The sequence below is a fragment of the Homo sapiens genome, chromosome 4 (genome assembly GCF_000001405.40).
Source record: "Homo sapiens chromosome 4, GRCh38.p14 Primary Assembly".
Taxonomy (NCBI): Eukaryota; Metazoa; Chordata; class Mammalia; order Primates; family Hominidae; genus Homo; species Homo sapiens.
In genome coordinates, this window is record NC_000004.12 from 126234672 (window position 1) to 126261440 (window position 26769).

At 34.1% G+C, this 26769-nt stretch overlaps 1 long non-coding RNA gene across 3 annotated transcripts in view; it reads right to left on the reverse strand.

The window, feature by feature from the left end:
• Positions 1-20619, reverse strand: part of LOC105377409 (uncharacterized) — a 33624-nt gene extending 13005 nt beyond the window's left edge. For 2 of the 3 annotated variants that reach the window (XR_939181.2, XR_939180.2), the window contains exons 1-2: positions 8150-8461; positions 3480-3557 (exon numbers count right to left, since the gene is read on the reverse strand). This is a non-coding gene — a long non-coding RNA (uncharacterized LOC105377409). Of the gene's footprint in view, positions 1-3479; positions 3558-8149; positions 8462-20347 lie in introns of those variants that run through there. The other variant, XR_001741523.1, reaches the window with a different exon arrangement.
• Between the last annotated feature and the right edge of the window lie 6150 nt (positions 20620-26769).

The following is a 26769-nucleotide window of genomic DNA, read 5'->3' on the forward strand; positions in this document are numbered from 1 at the left end:
TTGGTCTCTGTTCTGCAAATTCTAGCTGAGTTGGCTTTGTAAAATATATGTGTTCCCCAAATAAGTAAGTCACTAGGCTGTGCTTCTGTTTTCTCTGCCCATACTACAGGTCAGAAAATTGCTTCCAAGTGGTAACCTGTGTAAACTGTAGAGCATACTTTTTTGTTTCCCTTTTCTGAGGAAACTAGTCTTATACTTCTTATTGTCTCAATCTCTGAAAGTAGCATTGTTGTAAGTTTTGTCCAATTCTCTTATAGTTTACAATGTGAAAGCCAGTTATAAACCAGGTATTCATTCATGTCCAAAAATTGAAGTCTTATGATATTTTTAACTTTTAACTAAGAAAAAGATTTTTTTAACACATTCCCCACCCTTGACACTATTGCTTTCTCCAAATTTATTTTCCATCTGACATTTTCTTTCAGCCTGTAGAAGTTTCTTTACTATTGCTTGTAAAAAAATATTTGCTACTGATAGATTCTGTAAATTCTTGTTTGTCTTTAAAATATTTTATATTACCTTAATTTTTAACTAATAATCTTCATCTTTACAGAAGCTTTAAGTTCACAGCAAAATTGATCAGAAAGTACATGAAACTCCCATATACTCTCTGTCCTCACAACATGCAATCTCCACTATTGACACCTCTCACCACAATGGTACATTTGTTACCATCAATGAACTTAGAATGGCACCCAAAGTCTATAGTTTACATCAGGCTTTATTCTTGCTTCCTGATTTTTGAAAGATATTCTTATTGAATATAGAATTCAAAGTTGACAGGGTTTTTTGTTTATTTTGTTTTGGTTTTGTTTTGTTTCTGTGAATCCTTTATGTAGTTTCATTGACTTCTTGCTTTAATTCTTTCTGATTAAAAGTGTACAAACAATTTGATCTTTGCTCAACTATATGTAATGTGACTAGAATAATGTCCTGCTAAAGAAAAGATATCATTCAACGACATTTGTCAAAGCATGGTAAGGAAGACTTAACTCAGGACCATTACAATAGGTTTAGGGAGCTCAGCAATGAGATTTTGTAATGGAGAAGAGAGATTGGGTTTAATTCTGAACACAGCACAGGCAAGTGACAATTTATAGTCAAGAAGTGGTCTAGGGGGCTGGGCGTGGTGGCTCATGCCTGTAATCCCAGCCCTTTGGGAGGCCAAGGCAGGTGGATCACGAGGTCAGGAGATGGAGACCATCCTGCCTAACATGGTGAAACCCCATCTCTACTAAAAATATAAAAAATTAGCCAGGCGTGGTGGCGGGCGCCTGTAGTCCCAGCTACTCTGGAGGCTGAGGCAGGAGAATGGCATGAATCTGGGAGGCGGAGGTTGCAGTGAGCCGAGATCACACCACTGCACTCCAGCCTGGGCGACAGAGGGAGACTCCATCTCAAAATAAATAAATAAATAAATAAATATAAAAAGAAGTGGTCTAGGGGTTAATGGATGGAAAGTTACTAAAATAAAACATTAAGAGTAAAGGGGGATTCTGGCTAAACTGACTTAACAGGAGTCTTGCTGAAGACAGGACAGGGTAGTCAGACATAACCTGGGGGATGGTGAAGGATGAGGAATTCAATCAGATATCAGGGTGATCAGTTATCAAGGGTGGAAGGTTCTTACTAAATTGACTTAGCAGAATTCCTTGCTAAAATTGGATTTTGCAAAATAGCTAGATGGGCCTAGAAGAAGGTTCAGGAGCCTGAACTTTTCTTACCCACAAATGATGTTTCTTTCTTTGACCCTTTCAAAATTTTTTTCCTCACTGATACAGAGTTTTACCAGTATGAATATAATGTACTTGATATTCAAACTTTCAAACTGATGAAACTGTGTGTGTGTGTGTGCACGCATATGTGTGTGTGTGTGTTTATCCCTCTTGGGACGTGTTTAGTTTCTTTGAATCTGTGGATTTATAGTTTCATAAATGTTGAAATGTTTTAGCAGTTATTTCTTTTAATATACTTTTCTGCTGCCCCTTCTCCTAGAACCTTTCCTTGTGAGAATAGATTCACATTATACCATGGGTTACTGAGATTGTTCTTTTCTTTTTTCCCAATTTTACTTCTCTCTAAGTTTAATTTTGCACAGTATCAGTTGCTTTGTTTTCTAGTAAGCTAATATTTTTTTGGAATGGTCTAATTTTTGAGCCTCCTTACTGATGTTTTTATGGGATGAAATGTCAAAAAAATTCATCACTAGATTGTATCATTTTTATATTTCCAGTGTATCTTCATCTTATGATTATATTTTACCTGAATTGATATATATGTTTCAAATAGCTGTTTTCCATCTTTTTAAAACTAATTTCCTTATCATTGTCACTTTCAGGTATGCTTCTATTAACTTTTTTTCCCCCTGATTTTGCATATTTTACTGCTTTTTATCATACCTAGTAAATTTTTAGTGAATGCCAGACAACAATGCCACATTGGTTCATATTTGCATTTTAATATTATTCTTTAAATATTATTAGCTTTTGTTTTAGTTGGCAGTTATATTACTTGCAGATCTACTCAGTTCATTCAAAACTTATTTAAAAGCCTTTAGTGGTAATTAAAGAGTAACCTTTATTTGAGAGTTAGTTTATTTCTAATACTAAAGGTTACTTCTTCAGTCATCTTTACAATGCGATTTCTTCCTCTGGAATATCAAAATTTTATTGTCTTCCAGGCTTGCACTAAGTATTATTCAGCTGATACCTTTTTTGGGAATTTGTTTCCTGGTCTCATGTAGTTTCATATTATGCATAGGCAGATTAGAATTCAGCTAAAAAATTGAAGTGACTACTGCATAGTCCTCTGGAACTCTTTTTCTCCATAGATCTGTGTTCTCTAGTATTTCAATTTCAGTCCCCCAAAACTCTTATCTCTCTCTACATAACTCAGCAAGACCACTTTTTGTTGATTGAATTTCATTTCTCTTATCAAATTTTGTAAATTATCTTCTAACAGAAATCCTTTGCGTTTGTGGGAATTTAGCTTATTTTTGTGTTCTTTTGTTTTTCTTTAGCTCAAGGTTCACAGTCCTGCACACATTCTTATCTAGTTTCTGAAAATGGTGGGAAAATTCATTTTGTAGTAGTTATTGCATTGTGGTTGCCAATTGTTACCTTTCTGTCTATTTTTATTTCTGAAATACCATCAGTGAGATGGACTCCCAATGATGTCCACCTTCTAGTTTTCACCAGTTTGCTTACTCTCTTCCTTTGGGTGTGAGGGATACCTTGACTTCTTTCCAGCCAATAGACAGCAAAGATAATAGGTATCGCTACTGTGATAATGTTACATTATGTGACTCTCACTCTTCCTTGGTAGTTTCGAAGAAACAAACTTCTGTAAAGTAAGTAACCATTTTTGAAAATCCCACATTGCAAGATACTGTACCTCCAGGATCTTTGAACAGCCAGCTAGCAAAAAACTAAAACCTCAGTTTGGAAGTCAGAAAGAAATAAATTTTGCCAACAACTTACATGAGACTGGGAACAGTTTTTCTCTCCCAAGTGAGCCACCAGATGACAATGCAGCACAACCAACATCAGGACTGTAACCTGATAAGAGAAGGGTAACCTGATCAGTGGACACAGCTGATTTGTGTCTGGACTTCCAATCCATTAACACTGTATTGTTTTAAGCCACTAAGTTTGTTTAAATTTGTTGTGCACCAGTAAATAACTAATAATAGAACCAAAGCACCTCTTATTTGAAGTCAGAATAGTTAGATTCATTGACCTACAATATTCTGTTTCAGCTCTGATTCTATCTAGTTAAGTCATTTTGAAGACTAAACTTTAATTCCAGAGGATACTATTTTGGTAAATGAGAGAATATTTGATGGTTAAATTTAAACATTAAATACATCTTCTTTAGATTTACCATATGCTATGTCTCCTTTTAATATATCTGTCTTTTATTTTTCGATCTAGAAAAGGACTTAAAACCACTTAGAACATTTTCTTCATTTCACAGATTAGTAAAATAGAAAGGTGATCTGTGCTAATATTTCAACCAATGACTTTCCAAAATTATAATCTAGATTTTCTAACCCACATGCTGTGTATTCTATAATAGTGATAAAAAACATATAAACTTAAGCTAATTATAGGAACTATACAAGGCATATGAAGTATTAGGATATAATGTAGACCCATATTTACTAAATTACTGCAATTGGAACATTAGCTGTGAAAGGCACTCTGAAAGAAAATTATTTGCTATTAAACATATTTGACAAAATTCTTTTATTTTATTATTATTATTGTTTAGAGGACCAATTCCTTGAAAGACATAATCTTTCAAAACTAACACAAGAAAAAATAGACAATCACAATAGTACTATACTACCAAAGAAATTGAATTAAAAATCTCATAAAAAAGAAAAGCACAGCCTAAATGAATTCACTGGTGAACTCTATCAAACATTTAAGGAAAAAATTATGCAAATTCTCTACAACCCTTCCAAGAAGACAGAAACAGAGGGAATACTTCCTAAATTATCCTTTGTTGCCAGCATTACTCTAATATCAATGCCAAAGATATTAAAAGAAAATAAAACAACAAACTAACATCTTTCATGAACATAATGCAAAAATCCTCAACAAAACATTAGCAAATAGAACTTAAAATATGCAAAAATAATTATACACCAATATCAAGTGATATTATTCCCAGTTATGCAAAACTGATTTTCAAAGTTTGAAAATCAATTAATGTAATATCTCACATCCACAGGTGAAAAAAATCCAAACAATCATATCAATAGACAGAGAAAAAGCATTTGATAAAGTCCGTCAACCGTGATAAAAACTCACATGATAAAAACTCACATGATAAAAACTCACAAAAGGAATGGAGGAAAGCTTCCTGAATTCTATAAAGAACATCTAAAAATCCCTATAATTAACATCATGTGTAATGATGAGAACCTAGGAATGTTCCAAGATGAGGAGCAAGGCAAGGATATTGGCTTTCACCACTCTTTTTCAATGTTTTACTGGAAGTCCTAGCAAATGCAATAAAACAGGAAATGAAAAAAGGGTACATTGGTAAGGAAGAAATAAAACTGTCTATATTCGTAGTGGCATATTATCTATGCACAAAATTTAAAGCAACTGACAAATAAGACACCTAGAACTCATAAGTGAGTATAGCAAGGTTACAGAATAAGAGGTTAATATAGAGAAGTCAATTGTTTTCCTCTATTTCAGCAATTACTAAATGGGATTTGAGAATAAAAACACAATATAATTTACACTAACACCTTCCCTCAAATAAAATACCATACTTAGGTAAAATACTATCAAAATATATACAAGCTCTATGTGAGGAAAACTATGAAACTCTGATGAACAAAATCAGAGGAGAACTAAATAAATGGATAGTTTATGACCATGGATAAGAAGACTCAATATTGCCATTATGTCAGTTCTTCCCAACTTGACTCATAGAACTGATGCAATTCCAGTCAGATCTCAGCAAGTTCTTTTGAAATATTGACAAACTGATTCTAAAGTTTATATGAAGAGGCAAAAGACCCAGAATAGCCAATCTACAATACTGAAGAAGAGCAAAGGAATAGAACTGATACAACCCAAAGTCAAGACTTACCATAAGGAGACAGTAATGAAGGCAGCATGGTATTGATGAAAGGATAGGCAAATAAACCAATGGAACAGAACAGAGAGCTCAGAAATAAGCCTGCATAAATGTAATCAACTGATTTTTGATAGAGGACCAAAGGTAATACAGTTGAACAAAGATAGCCTTTTCAACTAAGGGTACAGAAACACCTGAACATGCGCATGCAAAATAAATAAATTTGGACACAGACCTTGTACCATAATAAAAACAAACTCAAAATAGATTATAGGACGTCACGCAGAATTCAAAAATACAAAAGTCCTAAATGGTAACCTACCTATGTTAACATATAGATAGACATCATGTGGAAGAAAATATAGTGATCTTCAATATGGCAATTATTTTTACATATGATACCAAAGGCATGTTCTGTGAAAGAAATAATTGGTAGGTTGCACTTCATTAAAATTATAAACTAGGGCCGGGCGCGGTGGCTCATGCCTGTAATCCCAACACTTTGGGAGGCCAAGGCAGGCGGGTATGAGGTCAGGAGATCCAGACCATTCTGGCTAACAGGATGAAACCCCGTCTCTACTAAAAATACAAAAAATTAGTGGGGCGTGGTGGCACGCCCCTGTAGTTTCTGCTACTCAGGAGGCTGAGGCAGGAGAATCACTTGAACCCAGGAGGTGGAGGTTGCAGTTAGCTGAGATCGTGCCACTGCATTCCAGCCTGGGTGACAAGAGGAAGACTTTGTCTCAAAATAAATAAATAAAATAAAATAAAATAAATAAAATTATAAACTTGTGTTCTGTGAAAGATGCTGTCAAGAGAATATGACAAACCACGCCACTGGAAGAAAATATTTGCAAAACACACATTTAATAAAGAACAGTATCCAACATGTACATGAAACTCTTACAGCTCAACAATAAAAAAAAAACAACTAACTTTAAAAAATGGACAAAAGAGCTGAACAGACACCTCACCAAAAAAGATATAAAGATGGCAAATAAACTTAAAAAATGCTCTACATCATATGTAATTAGGAAACTGCAAATTAAAATAATGAGTTACCACCACATACATTTTAGAATGGCCAAAATCTGGAACACTGATGACACCGAATGCTGGTGAGGGTGTGGAACAACAGGAACTCTCATTCATTGCTGGTGGGAATGCAAAATGCTACAGCCACTTTGGAATACAGATTGATACTTTTTTACAAAACTAAACATACACTTACTGTATGATCCAGTAATTGCACTCCTTGGTATTTACACAAAGGCGTTGAAACTTACGTCCACACACAAAGAAACTGCACAGATATGTTTATAACAACTATATTTATAATTTATAATTTAGCGATTTATAATTGCTAAAATTTGGAAGCAAACAAGGTGTCCTTTAACAGGTGAATAGATAAATATACTATGTTACATTCAGATAATGACTTATTATTCAGTGCTAAAAACCATGAAAATACATAGAAGAATCTTAAATGGACATTGTTCAGTGAAAGAATGCAATCCGACAAAGCTATGTTACCACATGATTTGAACCATATGACATTCTGAAAAAGGCAAAACTATGCAGACAGTAAAAAGATTAGCGATTGCCAATAATGTGGGGTGGGGAAGAAGTAAAGTGAAGGACAGAATTTTTAAGCAGTGAAAACTTATCTGTATGATACCATGATAATGGATACATGGTATTACACATTTTTCAAAACCCATAGAATATACCAAGACTGAACAAATGTAAACTATGAACTGTGGGTGATAATGATGTGCCAGTGTAGATTCATTTATTATAATAAATGTAGCACTCTGGTGTGATACATTGATAATCAAGAAGAAGCCTGCAGGAATGTGGGGTTGTGGGATACATGAGAACTCTCTGTTCTTTCTGTTTAATTTCGCTATGAACCTATAATTTCTCTAAAAATAAAGTATATTTTAAATTGAGATTATATAATAAAAATACATATTTATATTATACATGTTTGCAATACTGTTCCTACAGTTAAAGCCCACCAACAAATATCTTGTTCAGCTCAATATTTCCTACATGTATGTTACTGCTGGATTCATTTTTATATAACATTTATTTATATACCCTGGGCCTAGTATTCCATACAGTATTTTTAAAGTCACTACATTTGAATATAATAGTCATAAAGAAAGTTTACAGAAACCTGATGTATATTTTATTCTCTCTGTGTGTGTGTGTGTGTGTGTGTATGTGTATGTGTATGTCTCTGTGTGTATTTCATGAATTTCACAACTTTTTAAATTAAAAAGTGATATAAATTACTTTTTAAAACAAGCATAAAAATAAGTAATTGATGTATGTAAAGTAACAGCAACAAATCAAACGTAGAATGTACTCCTATTTCTTGACTCATAGTGTCAGGACAATTTCACTGTCAAACGAAGCATCTATAGTTATCTAAAGGAGCTGAGCAGCTTAGAGTTTGTGCTTTTCTCTAATCTACCCCCTACAGACACACACGTACACACACGCACACACACACACACACACACACACACACCCCAATTACCATATTGTGTATAAAGGCCATGGCAGTTGATCTCTGTCTCCGATCTTCATCAGAATCCTATTGTGCTTCCCTGGTTTTACAGAAGCCTGCTCTCTCCTAGTAACTGTGCACTGACATATGCCTAATACTTTTGACTTGACCTTCTGCCACTCACTTTCAACTTGGTTTTGAATCCTGGCACTTAAATTGCTCCTTCTATTCTGTCTTTGTTTCCTGTCTATTTCTTCCCACTCTGTTTGGAAACTTTGTTGATGACCTCAGGCTGTGCACTTGGATTTTATGCCCTGTTTGCTCCTTTCCTGTTGCCACAATATCATTAGATTGGAGCACGTCATCTCTCTCCGGATTTACAATATCTGTGCCGTCTAACCTCCTGTGCTTGGGTCTGTGCCTGCCAGACATTCACTGTCTTCAAGGCCCTTCCAGTTGGACTCCTGATCTTGGCTTTCACTGTTCTGCCCCAGCTGGCTCTGTGACAGTTTCCAATACTTAGCAGACATGAGTGAAGGCCTCCATTTCCTGTCACAGCATTTTGTAAGTCAAATATAATACTTCCTGCAAATTCACTGGGCCTATCTTCAATGCAGTGCAGTGGTATTTGCAAATGACACCTTGTAGATGAGGTCTTCCCTCAACATATATTTAAAATGCCAAATTTTCCCCCTCATCACGCCTTCAATCCCCTTCCCTGACTTTATTTATTTATTTTTATCGAGAACACGTACAACTTTCCATCATACTAGATAACATACTTATCTATTTCACACAGTTTCTGCCTCCTTGCCTGGAATATTAGCTCCATGAGTTCAGGGTTTTGTTTCTTTTTCTTCCTTCTATATCTCATTCATCTGGAAGTGTGTCTTATCCATAGTAGGCACTTACTATATATGTGCTATGTAAAAGCAAAAATGAATGAATACGACTGAACCCTTGCTATGGTAAATTGGGGGTAATAATGCTGCAACCAACAATGGAAACGTGGTGCTCAGACATTTTAAACACTGAAACTGGGCCATTGTGGTATTCCCTAAAAACTTAGAAGAAAATTTATATTCTGGGCATCCATGTTTGCTATGATCTCACTGACAGTTTTCCAGCGGGGAAATCAAAATTTTTGGCTTGTTGACACATTCTTAAAAATAAAGTGAGCACCTTTTAAAAAATACACAGATCTCAATTAAATAATTGAAAGTTAAACGTTATCTAGCTTACTCTCTTTTCATTATTTATTTCATGAGAAGAAAATCACATTACTCAGTGATTCCAAACCTTGAATCTCATGAAAAGGGCAATTTATTTTTCACCATTTCTTTATTCTCCTGCCTTTTGTAGCTAATAATAAGTTTTTTCCTCAGTAAAATTTTTAAAGTTTGGAATCTCTCAGTTAAGAGGAGTGGTTATTCCTCCTTCAATACATTTGTAAGTTTATTATACTTATTTTAGAAAAGATTCATTCACAGAAAATATAGTTGAAAATCTCAGAGAGCTCCTAATTCTTTCAAACCACTATATAAAAACTATAGCATATTTTGTTCAAGTCAAAGACAATATACCAAGTCAAAGACTACACACTTCTTTAGGAAACTATGTTCAGCACATGATAAGGCAAAATTAAAGTAACTATTTTAATTCCATTTGAATTCACTTTTCCAGAATGGTTTAATATCCACAAGTCAATAAACATGATACATCACATAAACAGAATTTTTAAAAAATCACATGATCATCTCAATAGATGCAGAAAAAGCATTTGACAAAATCCAGCATCTCTTTTATAATTAAATCCCTCAGCAAAATTGGCATAGAAGGAGCATACTGTAAGGTAATAAAAGCCATCTATGACAAACCCACAGCCAACATGGTACTGAATTGGGAAAAGTTGAAAGCATTCCCCCTGATAACTGTAACAATACAAGGATTCTCACTTTCACCTCTTCTATTCAACATAGTACTGTAAGTTCTAACCAGAGAATTCAGGCGAGAGAAACAAATCAAGGACATCCAAATTGGTAAAGAGGAATTCAAACTGTCACTATTTGCTGATGGCATGATCATATACCTAGAAAACCCTAAACACTCATGCAAAAAGTATCTAGAAGTGATAAATGCATTCAGCCAAGTTTCTGGATACAAAGTTAATGTACACAAATCAATATTTTTGCTATACACCAATAGTGAGCCAGCTGAGAATCAAATCGAGAACTCAATTCCTTTACAATGCTGCAAAAAGTAAATATAAGATACTTAGGAATATACTTAACCAAGGAGGTGAAAGACCTGTACAAGGAAAACTGCAAACACTGCTGAAAGAAATCATAGATGACACAAACAAATGGATTCATGTTTATGAGTATAAGCATGGATGTGTGGAATCAATATTGTGAAAATGACCATACTGCCAAAGCAATCTACAAATTCAATGCAATTCCCATCAAAATACTACCATCATTCTTCACAGAACTAGTAAAAACAATCCTAAAATTCATATGAACTGAAAATGAGTACACATAGCCAAAGCAAAACTAAGCAAAAAGAACAAATCTGGAGGCATCACATTATCCAACTTCAAACTATACTATAAGGCCATAGTCACCAAAACAGTATGGTACTGGTATAAAAATAGCCACATAGGCCAGTGAAAAAGAATAGAGAACCCAGAAATAAAGCCAAATACTTACAATTAACTGACTTCCGACAAAGCAAACAAAAACATAAAGTGGGGAAAGGACATCCTATTCAGCAAATGGCACTGGGATAATTGGCAAGCCGCATGTAGAAGAATAAAACTGGATCCTCATCTCTCACCTTATATAAAAACCAACTTAAGAGAGATCAAAGACTTAAATCTAAAATCTGAAGCCATAAAGATTCTAGAAGATAGCATTGGAAAAACCCTTCTAGACATTGGCTTAGGCAAAGACTTCATGACCAAGGCCAAAAGCAAGTGCAATAAAAACAAAGATAAATAGATGCAACTTATAAACTAAAAAGTTTCTGCACAGCAATAGAAATAATCAGCAGAATAAACAGACAACCCACAGAGTGGGAGAAAATCTTTATAACCTATACATCTGACAAAAGACTAATATCCAGAATCTACAAAGAACTCAGACAAATCAGCAAGAAAAAAAAAATCCCATCAAAAAGTGGGCTAAGGACATGAATAGGCAATTCTCAAAAGAATATATACAAATGGCCAACAAGCATGTGGAAAAATGTTCAGCATCACTAATTACCAGGGAAATGCACATCAAAACCACAATGCAATACCATCTCACTGCTGTAAGAATGGCTATAATAAAAAATAAACAATAATAGATATTGGCATGGATGTGGTGAAAAAGGAATATTTTTACACTGTTGGTGGGAATGTAAACAACCCACCAACCACTATGGAAAACAGTGTGGAGATTCCTTACAGAACTAAAAGTACATATACCATTTGATCCTGCAATCCCACTATTAGGTATCTAACCAGAGGAAAAGAAGTCATTATACTAAAAAGTTACTTGCACACACATGTTTATAGCAGTACAATTCATAATTGCAAAAATATGGAACCAGCCCAAATGCCCATCAATCAACAAGTGATGTAAAATGTGGTGTACATGTATACATATATACTCACACCATGGAATACTACTTACCCATAAAACTGAACAAAATAATGGCATTCACAGCAAACTGGATGGAATTGGAGAGTATTATTCTAAGTGAAAGTATCTCGAGAATGTAAAAACCAAACAATGTGTGTTCTCACTCATAAGTGGGAGCTAAGCTATAAGGATGCAAAGGCATAAAAATGATACAATGGACTATGGGGACTCGAGGAAAGGGTGGGAGGGGACTGAAGGGTAAAAGACTACACATTGGGTACAGTGTACACTGCTTGGGTGATGGGTGAACCAAAATCTCAGGCGTCACCACTAAAGAAGTTACCCATGTAATCAAACACCATCTGTTCCCCAAAGACCTACTGAAATAAAAAACAAAGTTAAAAAGTTAATAAAATTAAATAATAAAATTATTTAAATAAAATAAATGAACTTAAAATCTACTTATTTTCTTAATATTTACATTATCTAATGATGTTTTTATTTTAAATAAGTTACAAAAAATTCACATTTTTATATGTACACACTATATATCTTTAAATTACATATATGTATACTTCTAAAAACCATGAAACAGGACAGGCATGGTGGCTCACGCCTGTAATCCCAGCACTTTGGGAGGCCAAGGCGGGTGGATCATGAGGTCAGGAGATCGAGACAATCCTGGCTAACACAGTGAAACCCCGTCTCAACTAAAAATATAAAAAATTAGGCAGGCGTGGTGGCGGGCGCCTGTAGTCCCAGCTACTCGGGAGGCTGAGGCAGGAGAATGGCGTGAACCCAGGAGGCGGAGGTTGCAGTGAGCCAAGATCGCGCCACTGCACTCCCGCACTCCAGCCTGGGCGACAGAGCAAGACTTCAACTCAAAAAAAAAAACAAAACAAACAAAAAAAAACCATGAAACTGTATTTTAACACCATACTTAAGGTAGAGTTAAGGACTTTGCCACGTTCATAATGAACATAGCTGTTTAAGAAGGGAAACTTTCCATATAGAAAGGCAAAGTTCGGTTTGACTCATTTCCTTCTATTTTCCTAGTAGTTAACTTACCATACTTCTTCTTAAGTGAAAAACTGTGCCAGTATGTTTTGAGGTTTGGGGGAATAGTATGTAAACTCAAATGTACTTCTCAACTTACTGTTGCCTTACACTCTCTTCACTCTACCAAAGCTGCTGTATCAGAGTTTCACTTTCAGCTACTGCATTATCGGCATACGAAAGTCTACTTATTTCTGTATGTTGATTTTGTATCCTGCAACTTTACTGTACTCATCTATCAGTTCTGGGAGATTTTTGGTGAAGTCTAGGTTTTCCTATTTATAAGATCATGTTATCTACAAACAGGAACAATCTGGCTTCCTCTTTTCCAATTTGGATGCCCTTTATTTCTCTCTCTGGGCTAATTGCACTGGCTAGGACTTCTAATAGTATGTTGAATAATAGTAGTGAAAATGAGCAGCTTTGTCTTGTTCCAGTTCTTAGAGGAAAGCCTTTCAACTTTTCACCATTCAGTATGAAGTTTGCTCTGCGTTTGTCATATATGGCCTTTATTTTGTTGACATAGTCCTTTGATACCTAATTTACTGTGTTTTTTAAATTATGAAGGGATGTCAAATTTTAACAAATGCTTTTTTGTTGTGTCTATTTAGATGATCATTTGGGATTTTCATTCTCGCTTCCCTGGGTTAAATTCCACTTGATCTTGGTGGATAATCTTCTTGATGTACTGTTGGCTTTGGTTTGCTAGTGTTTTGTTAAGTATTTTTGCATCTATGTTAATCAGGGGTATTGGCTTGTAGTTTTCTTTTTTGTTGTACCCTTGTCTGATCTTGGTATCAAGGTAATGCTGGCCTTATAGAATGAGCTTGAAATAACGTCTTTCTCTTCAATTTTTTTGCTATAGTTTGAGAAGAATTGATGGTAGTTTTTTTACAGGTTTGGTAGAATTTGGCAGTGAAGCCATGTGGTCCTGGGCCTTTTTTTTCCTTGGGAGACTTTTTATTTCTGATTCAATGTCGTTATTTACTATTCTACTGTTTAGGTTTCCTTTTTGGTTCAATTTTGGTAGGCTATATGTGTCCAGTGTTTATCCATTTTCTCTTGATTTTCCAATTTGTGGCATATAACTATTCATAATAGTCTCTGCTAATTCTTTGTACTTCTATGGTATTAATGTCAATCAACACATAAATGGATTTAAAAAGGGGTATATATACACAATGAAAACTCTTTTGTTACCAGACAAAATGAAATCCTGCCATTTGCTGCAATAAAGATGAGCCTGGAGGACATTATGTTAAGTGAAATAAGTTAGGCACAGAAAGACAAATACTGTCTATTCTCACTCATATGTGAGAGCTAAAAAGTTGCTCTAATAAGTATTCTACCCCATATTAGAGGGTAGAATACTGGTTACTAGAGGCTAGGAAGAAGAGGGAGGAGGAGAGGTATAAAAAGGATGGTTAGCAGATACAAAATTATAGCTAAACAGAAGCGATAAATTCTAGTTTTCTATGGTACTGTAGGGTGACCATAGTTAACACTAATGTATAATTTATCTTTAAAGGGCAAGAGGAAAGGATTTTGAATATGTCCAATACAGAGAAATGATAAATGTTTGAGGTGATGCATATGCTAATTACTCTGAATTTGATCATTACACATTGAATGTATCTATTGAAATGTCAGTCTGTACCCCATAAATATGTATAATTATTATATGTCAATTAAAATAAAATTTTAAAAAGTTCTTTATTTGCTAAATTCTGTGGCTATATGAATCCTTCGTAGTGCCCATCTGGCTATTTTGTTCTGTTAGAGTCTGTTAAGAACAGAGGTTTGCAAACTTTAGCATGCATAAGAAACTCCTGGGCAACTTCAAATTTGCAGAAATGAAGATCATAAGTCATATCCTTAGAGATTCTGATTGAGTGGGCACAAGTGTGGATCCAAAATTATTTTAATGAATATCTAGTTCATTCTGATACAGGTCATTTGTAGTTCATGCGTATAAAATGTGGACTTCAAAGATTATTTTCCCTTACCTCTCTCTTGATAATTAATACTTATCAGTGCCTCTTTGGGAAACTTTTTTAATACTACCATGTCTCCCCTCCCTTTTAGTGTCAGAAATCATTTTGTGCCTGTTTATTTACATCTTTAATGCTAAAACATATTTTGATTAAATAAACAAACTGATGAAAGTGTGTATGGTGCTGTTTTCCCCCTGAGCGCTAAACCTAAATATCTCACAGAGATCATTAATTTAAAATATATATAACCAAGCCAAACTCAATATGAGTTTCCTTCTAATAACTGCCAATTTGTCAACACCATTACCCATGAAATAGGGTTCAGGCCAAGGTTAGAAATAAGAGAAATGGGTGACTACCTACCTGGATAAGGAGAAAGAAAACAGAGCTGAGTACATACATGGTCAAAATGGAGTCAGCTAACAAAGATAGCACATCCTAGCCAGTTGGGGGCAATCTAAATCAATCTCAGCAGGAGTCACATGAAAGGTACAGTCTTGTGGTGGGACACCTTGGAAAGGACTGTGGCTCTCACAAAATATCTTTTCTGGGCTGGATCTGACTTCAGTGTCAAACACATACTACCTTTCCAGTTCTATCACTAACTATATCCACAGTAGATGTCCTATCTTTAGGCACTTCATATTAAAATTCTTACCAGTATTTAAAAACAGTGTGATATTTTATAACTCAGTGAGGCAGGTTGATTAATTAAATAGACCTGGATTTAACTGCTGGCTCAGCTAATTGTATAGAATCTCTAGAAACTTACCTAAACTGTCTGAACCATCTTTTTCCTACGCCATAAAGATTGACAGTGTCACCCACTTCATAGCACTATAGATTAACATTTAACTTCTTGTGATATGACATAACATATAACCACTGGTACAGAATTCAAGATTACTAGTATTATTAGTTACGACAGTTAAACTTGCACAAAATAATAATTAGTTCTCTAGTTCCTTCAGTTTATCTTCATTTTCTATTTCTTCTATTATCTTCAAGTTTAAATGTGGTATTTTAAATATAAATAATAAAAAAGTATGATTCATGTTTATAAAATTATTCCATATATATGTTTGAAGGATGTCTAGACTAATATATTATTCTAATACTACCAAGAGTTATTTCTGCATCATGAATTTGGGGTGACATTACAAAATATTTTATTTTGAGATAATTGGGATTCACATACATTTATAAGAAATAATACAAAGAGAACCAACATGACCTTCACCCACTTCACTCCAATGACAATACTTTGCACAGCAACAGCAAAATGTCACAACCAGAAAATAGGTATTGATATAATCCATTGATTTTACTGAGACTCTATCAGTTTTATGTGCCCTTATTTGTGTGTGTGTATATTTGGTTCTATACAATTTCATCACATGAATAAATTCATATTACCATTATCACAGACAAAAACCAGGAAAATTCTGTAATCACAAGATTCATTGTATTGCCATTTTATAACTGCCCTCATGTCTATGCTCACCATCCCTCATAGCTTTATATATTTTATTTATTTATTTATTTTTTATTTTTTACTTTTTTTTATTTTTATTTATTTTTTTTAATTTTTTTTATTATGTTTTAAGTTTTAGGGTACATGTGCACATTGTGCAGGTTAGTTACATACGCATACATGCGCCATGCTGGTGTGCTGCACCCACTAACTCGTCATCTAGCATTAGGTATATCTCCCAATGCTATCCCTCCCTCCTTCCCCCATCCCACAACAGTCCCCAGAGTGTGATGTTCCCCTTCCTGTGTCCATCCCTCATAGCTTTAATCTGTTCTCTATTTCTATAAATATTCTCAGTTTAAAATTGTTACATTATTAGAATTATACTTTCCTGAGATTGGCTTTCAGGATTGGCTTTTTACCCACTCAGCATAATTTCCTGGAGATTCATCCAAAATGTAGTTTTGTTTATTGTTGCTGTTGTTATTATTTGTTTTAATAAATGCTGGGTAATAGTCCATGATTTGAATAGACTACAGTTAAATCAACCACTTACCTATTGTATGGCATTTGAATTGTTTACACTCTGACTACTACAAATAAGCTCCTATGAACATTAATGTCTAGGTATGTGTGTGAACATAAGTTTTCAATTTGAGAAATACAAAGAATTAAATTGCTGAGCCATTAGGTACCTGCATGTTTAGTTTTGTAAGAAATTGTTTTCTGGAGTGGCTGTACCATTTTACATTCCATACATAGCAGCAAAACGTAGCAGCAATCCAGTTTCCCCACAGTATCACCAAAATTTAGTGTTGTCATTACTTTTTATTTTAGTTTTTGCTATAGATGCAAAGAGTTATCTCATTATTATTTTAATTTGCATTTACCAAATAGCTCTCCAAGATGTGGGGCAGAACAATGGGTAGTGATGAAGATTAAAAGCTGTCAGGAAACATTAAAAATGGAGAGTTCACAGAGGACATTCTCATCTATGTAGAAAATCTAAAAGAATCAACAGAAATTTCTGTAACTAGTAAGCAATTATAACATGGTTGCAAATACCAGGTTAGTATACAGAAATTAATCACTTTAGGGGTTCTATATACCAGCAATGAACATGTGGCATTTGAAACAAAAAACACAATACCATTTGTATTAGCATTCCCCAAACTGAAATGCTCAGGTATAAATTTAACAAAATATGTACAGAATCTATATGAAAAAAACTATAAAACTCTGATGAAATCAAGAACAAAATAATGAAGAAATATTCCATTATTCATAGAGAAGGAGGCTTAGGATGGTCAAGATGTCAGTTTTTCCCAACTTGATCTATAGGTTCAATGCTATCCCAGTCAAAACCCCAGCAAGTTATTTTGTGGATATTGACAAACTATTTTTAAAATTTACCTGGAGAGTCAAAACCCAGTATGGTCAATACAGATTGAGAGAAAACTATCAGAGGACTGATACTATCCGACTTCAAAACTTACTAATAAAGATGGTAATGAAGACAATGCGGTATTGGCAAAAGAATAGACAAATGTACCAAATATACCAATGGCACAGAATAGAGAAATCATAAATAGACCCACATAAGTATGATAAACTAATCATTGACAGAGAAACAAAGAAAATACAATAGAACAAGATTGTCTTTTCAACAAATGATGTTGGAACCACTGGACATCCACATGTGAAAAAAAAATGAATCTGGACACAGATCTTGCACTCTTTATGAAAAATAACTCAAAATAGATCATAGACCTAAATGTAAAATGTGAAAATATAAAACTCCTAGAGGATGACACAGGAGAATACCTAGATGACCTTGGATATGGTGATGACTTTGTGGATACAACACCGAAGGCATGATGTACGGAAGAAGTAATGAATACACCGTATTTATTAAAATTAAAACCTCTGCTTTTTGAAAGACAACATCAAGGGAATGAGACGACAAGCCCCAGACTTGGAGAAAATATTTGCAAAATACACATCTGATAAAGAACTCTTACACAAAATACACAAAGAACTCTTAAATCTCAACCGTACGAAAACCTACAAGCTGATTTCAAAAATGAGCCAAAAACCTTTAACAGACACTTAACCAAAGAAGATGTAAAGGTAGCAAATAAGCATATGAAAAGGTACTCCACATCATACATCATCAGGAAAATGTAAATTAAAATAATGAAATACACTCCCATTAAAATGGTCAAAAACCAGAATACTTTCAGCAAATGCTTGCTAGGATGTGGCACAATAGAAACTCCCATTCATCGCTGGTGGAAATGCAAGATGGTACAGCCACTTTGGAGGACAGTTTGCTACTCTTTTACAAAGCTAAACATATTCTTGCCAAACAATCCAGAAGTAATACTCCTTGGTATTTACTCAAGGGAGGTGAAGACTTTTGTTCACACAAATGCCTGCATGTGAGTGTTTATAGCAGCTTTATTTATAATTGCTAAAACTTGGAAAAAACTAAGATATTCTTCAATAGGTGAATGAATAAATTGTGGTTCATCTGGACAAAGTATTATTATTCAGTGCTAAAAGTAAATTAGATAAAGCACCACGGAATGACATGGAAGATGCTTAAATGCTTATTGTTCAGGAAAGAAACCAATCGTAAAAGACTATATATTGTATTATTCCCAATATATGATATTCTGGAAAAGGCAAAACTATGCAGACAGTAAAACAAAAGATCAGTGATTGCCAGGGCTTGAGGATGAAGGATAGGTGAGTAGACAGAGCACAGCAGGCAGTGAAAATACTGTATATGCAGAGTATATACAGAGAAAATCTTCTGTATTTACAGTATTTTCACTGCCCTGGAAATCTGGACAAACATATAATGGATACATGCCATTATACGTTTGTCCAAAACCATAGAATATTCAACCCCTAGAGTGAACCCTAAGGTAAACCGTGGACTTTGGGTACTCATGGTGTCAATGTAGATTCACTAATTATAACAAGTACACCACTCTGTTTGAAATGTTTTAATGAATGAGATTATGCATGTGTTGGGGTTGTGGTATATGGGAAACCTCCGGACCTTCGTTCCAATTTTTCTGTGAACCTAAAACTGCTCTAGAAAACAGCCTTGAAAAAATAAAAAGTAGGTCTGCAAGTGATAATTTTAAAAACATTTCTTTAATTTGAGAGTATCTTTATTTTCTCTTCATTCCTAAAGAATATATTAACTGGAGGTAGAATTTATAGTTAACAGTTAACTTTTTTCAGGACTTGAAAAACATTGTTCCACTTCCTTCTGGCCTCTATATTTTTTTTTATAAGAAACCCATTTTCTTTTACCTTGATGTTCTTCTATTAGTAATCCATTTTTCCCTCTGGCTGCTTTGAAGATTTCACCTTTGTCTTTAGTTTTTAGAAGTATGATATGTTTTGGTATGGAATTTTTTGGATTTATTCTACTTGGGGTTCATTTAGCTTCTGGAATATATATGGTTTTGTCTTTCGCAAAATTTAGGAACTTTTTTACCCATTATTTCTTTGAATACCGTTCAGTCCCACATTCCTCCTCTTCTTTCTTGAACCCTAAGGATAGAGATATTTGAATTTTGCTATTTTCCTATTGGTTTTTAGATGTTCATTCATTTTTATTTTCAGTATATTTTCTCAATTTTTTTGATTTAATACATTTTATTGATCTATTCTCAACTTCACTGATTCTGTCATTGTCTTATTACCTTTGATCTCTTCCAATGAGCTTTTAAGTTATCATATTTTGTTTTTAATTTCTATTTGGTTTAGTTTTATAAATAATGTATTTGCCGACATTTCCCACTTTTTACTTGTCCCAAATACATGCTTAATTATTTGTTGAATTAATTTAATTTTAAGATTGTTGCTTTAAAATCATTGTCAGATAGCACTAATATCTGATTCATCTAGGTATTTGTGCCAATTGATTTACTTTTGTTATGTTGTGCTTTACTTGGATCTTGGTATGACAACAGATTTTCAATTGTATCTTGTGTATTTCAAATATTATGTTAGGAGACGTTTAGTTCTATATAAATCTATTTTACCCGGCACTCACCTTGTTTAGTTTTATCATGTGGGTTCCAGCACTTTCACTCACTCCACCATGTAACTGCTGGGGACAGATTCAGATCCAACAACACTAGTGTGTCCAGAATTGGTTCCTTGTGGTAGGTTCTTGGTCTCACTGACTTCAAGAATGAAGCCGCAGACCCTCGCAGTGAGTTACAGTTCTTAAAGATGGTGTGCCGGGACTTTGTTCCTCCAGAGGTTTAGAGGTGTCCAGAGTTTTTTCCCTCTGGTGGGTTCATGGTCTTGATGACTTCATGAGTGAAGCCACAGACCTTCGCAGTGAGTGTTACAGCTCTTAAAGGTGGCGCGTCTGGAGTTGTTCATTCCCCCCCATGGGTTCATGGTCTCGTTGACTTCAAGAATGAAGCCCCAGACTTTCGCAGTGAGTGTTACAGCTCTTAAAAGTGGCGTGTCCGGAGTTGCTTGTTCCTCCCGGTGGGTTCTTGTTCTTCGCACTGCATTCGTGGTTGGTCTCCCTGGCTACTGGAGTGAAACCGTACACCTTCGCAGTGAGTGTTACAGCTCATAAAGGTACTGCGGACCCAAAGAGAGAGCAGCAGCAAGATTTACTGCAAAGAGCGAAAGAACAATGCTCACACAGCATGGAAGAAAACCTGAGCAGGTTGCTGTTGCTGTTGCTAGCTGGGTGGCCTGCTTTTATTCCCTTATTTGGCCCCACCCACATCCTGCTGATTGGTCCATTTTACAGAGAGCTGAATGGTCTGTTTTACAGAGAGCTGATTGGTCCGTTTTGACAGAGTGCTGACTGGTGCGTTTACAAACCTTTAGCTAGACACAGAGGGCTGATTGGTGCATTTACAATCCTTTAGCTAGACACTGAAGTTCTCCAAGTCCCCACCCGATTAGCTAGACACAGAGTGCTCGTTGGTGCCTTTACAAACCTTTAGCCAGACACAGAGTGCTGATTGGTGCGTTTACAATCCTTTAGCTAGACAGAAAAGTTCCCCAAGTCCCCACCCGACCCAGAGCCCAGACAGCTTCACCTCTCACTAACAGGTGTGAGGTGGAGATGGTTTAGTTGAGCTCACTTGGTTTCTGTAGGTAGATCAGGTGACCACTGTTGATTGGCATGTGGTGACAGATAAGTTTTCCTGAGTAGGGTCTGTCAGTAGCACTGCTGCAATTAGATTGAATTGCTTTGGCCCGCAGATATGAGACAAGGGATCCAAACTTTGAAAGCAAAGTTCTATCTTTCAGAAAGTAATTTCTCTGGGAAGACTGCAATCAGCTAGGAAAATTAGCTACTACCACTTCTAGGATTTTATAACTTTTTATTCAAACCTTTGATACGACATTTTATATGAGATATTTCTGTATACACGTCTTCCTGACAAAAAAATAATATGTAGCTAATAGATGCTTTTTGAATGAATGACTCTAGGTTGTTATATCGATTTCAGAACTTTTCTATCCAGTATTTTTCCTTGTGCCTTTTGTTCCACCCCTGCCATTGGTATTATGTGGTAAATCAAAATAGCTTTCGAACCACTTGAAAAGTACTGTGAAAATACAGAACTATTTTAAGCCAGGATGTTTGTTTTAAAGCCTAATATTAAACTGTCTACAGTCTAATTTCCTAATTTGAGGGAAAAAGTGGCAGTAATAGAACCCTTCTTCTCAAAGGGTCAAATTAATATTTTAGAAACCTTAAGGTCCTAAAATAAAAGCCTCTAAAAAATAGCAAATATACAGTGTTGCTTTCCTTTCTGTTATTTTACGCTGTGAGAATTCTGAATGGAATGCATTGCATTTGTTAGAAACACAAAAATGTATTTATCATATTTCTCACGACACAAATATGATAGATTGGAAGAGCTTAGTTTTTATTAAAATAAATCACAAGTCTTTCCATGTTGTTTTTATACAGCTAAAGAAGAATAAGCAGAGTTTTCTAATTTAGAGTTTGCTAATGTAGTCCCACTTAAAACTGTAAGACTACAGTAACAAATAAATTTTAACATAGTACATATTATATGAATTATTAATGTTTGTTATTACATAATTAATTAGAGCAAACCAGACGCTTATTAGAGGTTCCCTTCCTTTGAGTTTATGCACTATTTTGTTTATAACTCTTTTGCCATTTCTAATATTCCCTATAAATCATAAATGATTCATGTTACCCTCTATTATCTCCTTCATAATTATTCAAACAAAACTACAGAGTGAAACTATCCTCATGCCACTCTTTTCCTTCCTCTGCACCAAGAGCATCCGTTTTCTCTTTTCATTGGAATGATTTCGGAAAAATGTAAAAGAGTGAGATAAAGCATGTGACAAAAATTACAGTTTTCAAGATGCTAAATGCTAGTGACACCTTCCTAAATTTATCCCTTGGGATTCTGGGACTTTGCTCTTGGTTACTTAAAAAAAATGTACAGGCTAGGAAAGGGTCTCCTTTCCTTATCCTAATAGAAGGGATTCCATTTGAAATCATCTTAAACTATTGGTGTCTTTTTCCAGCTAGTGTCTGCATGGAAACTTGCTTCTCCATGGGCCACCAAAGTTCCCAAGTAATTAGACTTTTTACTATACCTGTCAAAATGTAGAATGTAAACACAGGCTGTCTGGCATCTCAGTATTCCTTCATAGACAAGGTTAATTTTAAACATCACTATTTAAGAAAAGGAGATCAGGGGTTGTTTTTTGTGGCGGAATCGAATCTCTATCCTGTAACTTCAACCCTCTGATTTTTCCATTGAATCACCTGTGTCTTTTGTAGGAGGATGAAAATTTGGGGTTCACATTTCTCCTCTTGGTAATTCTTTTTTACATTTCCCCAACAAATACTGTTTCTTTACTCAGACTGTGTGATATTATGTCATTCTCTCCAACCCCTCTTATATATTAGATGGCAGCTATATAACACTTCTATGTTTAGTTTTCTCATATCTTTTAGCCTTTATTTGAGAAAAACAAAACAAAACTCTGTATGTCTCCTACTAAACTATCAAAGAAAAGATTGCATTTTTTTCATTTTTATGTATTAAACACCTAAGCTGAGTTAAAGAATAATTGAAGGATGGCTATATTCTCATTCCATTTTAAATTCTACATCTTTTAATTGAATTTTCCCTGATGTATCATTGCCAAATAAATTATAACATGTTTAACACTTTAAAGGTAATGTTAAATCATTCTGTTTATTTTTTCTAAGCATATTGATATATTGTCTTTATATTGAATATCAAATAGTAGTAATAGCTTTAAGAAAGTTTGTTTTATGTAACTTTTATCTGGATTCATCTGATTGTAACAATATTTACTTGCTAGTTTAAACGTAGGAGAATTGTGAGAATCCTTCTCTACAAAAAAATTTAAAATTTTTCCAGGGGTGGTGGTGCATGCCTGTATTCCCACCTACTCGGGAGGCTAAGGCAGGAGGATTACTTGAGCCCAGGGGTCTGAGACCTGTGTAAGCAACGTATTCAGAACCCTATCTCTACAAAATTTTTAAAAAATAGCCAGGCGTGGTGGCGCGTGCCTGTAGCCCAGCTACTCACTGAGAGTTTGAGCCTGCAGTGAACTATGATTGCACCACTGCACTCCAGCCTTAACAATAGAGCAAGATCCTGTCTCAAAAAGAACAAAACATAGGAGGTCTTTTATTATCTATACGCTCTACATCCAGTGATAACCACTGTAAAATTTTGTTTATCTTCCCAGTATTTTTATAGTGGTAAAAATGCTTTATATATAATATATATAATAATGTATGTAATATATAATATATAAAATATTATATAATTATATTGTATATATATTATATATTATATATAATGAATGTATGTGTGTGGATGTCTATATCTATCAATATATCTGTATGTGTGTGTGTTATCTTTCTTGTCTAAACTTCTTCCACTTATTTTTCTGAACCAGTTTGACAGTTACATACTCTATTTCTATTCTTTAAGTAATAAGTTCTAAAATTTTGCCAAAAATATTTAAATTTTAAAAAGAAAAGATGTATTTTACTTTTCTCCTGAGCAATACAAGTACAGTAGTCATCCCTTACCCACAGTTTCTCTTTCTAAGATTTCTGTGGCCCAGAGTCAACTACGATCTGAAAATAGGTGAGTCCAGTAAAATAAGACATTTTGAGAGACAGAGATCATATTCATATAACTTTTATTACAGTATATTTTTATAATTTTTAAAATTTTATTACTGATTATTGTTACCAATCTCTTACTAGGCCTAATTCATAAATTAAATTTTATTTATATATATTTTATTATATATATGATAAAAATATAGTATGTATAGAGTTCGGTACTATGGTACTATTTTCAGGTTCAAGAATCCACTGGGTGTCTTGGAATGTATCTCCCATGGATAAGGTGGGGGCTACAGTCCCTCTAATTGGACCCTTCTGGACTTTCATGCCATCACCACACCACTGTTGCCACCATCATCATCATCATTATTATCACTATGACTGTAATTCTATCCAGGAAACTTTTCTTGTACTTTTCATAATTTTTTTTTGCTCCATATTCCGTTTTCATTTCAGGTAATCCCCTAGAACCATTCCCGTTTCTCCTGAACTATATTCTCTGTAAGTTCCTTTAGCATATCTTTCCAGGTGGTCAACCTTCATAGTTTATGCTTATTTTTAAGTATTTCCCTTTCTCCCTCCTGTCCTTGAAATATACATTTTTTTTTAGTTCGAAATTCTACATTTAACATTATTGTTTGTCAGTATTATGAGGAAATTATTTTTCAATAGTCTGTATGTCATTTTCGCAGTTGAGATATAGACTTTTTTTTTCTTATTCTAACGTTTCTGTTTTTGGCTGGATGTGAATGGAGGGGATCAGCAAGGGCTAGGGAACCTGTGGATTTTCCCTGGATTTATTTTGCATATATTTTGTATTTGGCATTTTGCTGTTTCACAATAGGGTGTCTGGGTATGAATTGGCTTTAATCATACTCCCTGGGCTATGATGATAGAGTCTAGTTTTTTTATTTCTTTCCAAAGTTTTCCCGTTGTAATCACTTTAAATGTTGTATATTAAACAATATGCCTAAAATAAATAAGAACTTAGTATTCAAATTTATTTTTCAGATGATGTATCATAGCTGTTATGAGAAAATGTGTAAAATATATATTGATAAATTTCTAATTCAAATAATGCCCCATAAACATGAAGACCTATGAATCCTTTTCTCTTTATATTAGGAGATATGATCCTGTTTGTGCCAATATTTTTCTAGTGCAACTCTAAATGTTTATATAATAATTTACCACCACCTCTTCTTAAGTATATCTGTATGCCTTGATGTGTTTCTGACAAAATTTATTAAGAAGAAATAAGAGAAAGCAAAACAACAACAAACCACATTTTTTTTTTTTGCCCCATGATATTTATAATTAAATTACATTGTATATTTTGGTATAATTGGGTTACTGGTTGAGTTTTGTAAAACAAATAGAATAAATATTGCTTATTATAGTTTATCACACAGTCCAAATAACAGCGAATTCACATACTACATTATGTAGATAATGGAACAACTAATTCATGTGGTCTACAACTGACTTTGTACTACCAATGAGACTATGGATTCCAGAATCTAGAAACCTTTTCCACACGTAAGTCAGAGTAAGAACAACTCATGAAAAAGAAAAAAATACTTAAAAATTATCCAAAGGATTCAGAATGAATTATAATGAAATAATTATATTTCACGCCTTCCTTTAAAGATACAAAACATATTTACTCTTTTTTTCTTTTCTTCTCTTTTTTTAATAAGAATAATGGTATGATTGAAGCATTATAAAATATCTTTAAAGGAAAATATTTAAGTAGACATATTTTCTAACAGTTGAAAACAAACAACCAAAAAGCAAAGTTAAATATGAAAGTAGACGAAGCAAAAGCTACTTTTGACTGTATTGCTAATAACAGACTTTGAAAGACAGGAAAAGTATTGAGTTTTGAACAAATGGTACAAAATAGAAGATTCTTTGTTGATTTCTGGCAAGTTCTTCTTCTACTAACTTCTAAATATAGTAATTATTTCTCTTCTTCATTGATTTTTAAATTAAATATTTTGAGAGTAATCAAAATAAGTAAATACTTTTTTGATATTATTAATATTTTAAAATGGAGAAATTTATTCTTATGTATTGATATTATTTACAAATAAGGAAAATATCTACTGTACTTATCTAAACAAGAAAAAAGTGACTTCCAAAGAAAACTATAACCACGTAGAATCTCGTCATCTAAAAAGGCATGGCGATCTTTACAATTTTCCCTCCTTGTTGAATAATTACTCTCTAATTCATTAAATGGAAATATATTTTGTTACCACACATAACATTATATTTCATTTTCCAAGTTGAATTTGAATGTATATATTGTATAGGTTGACTACGAA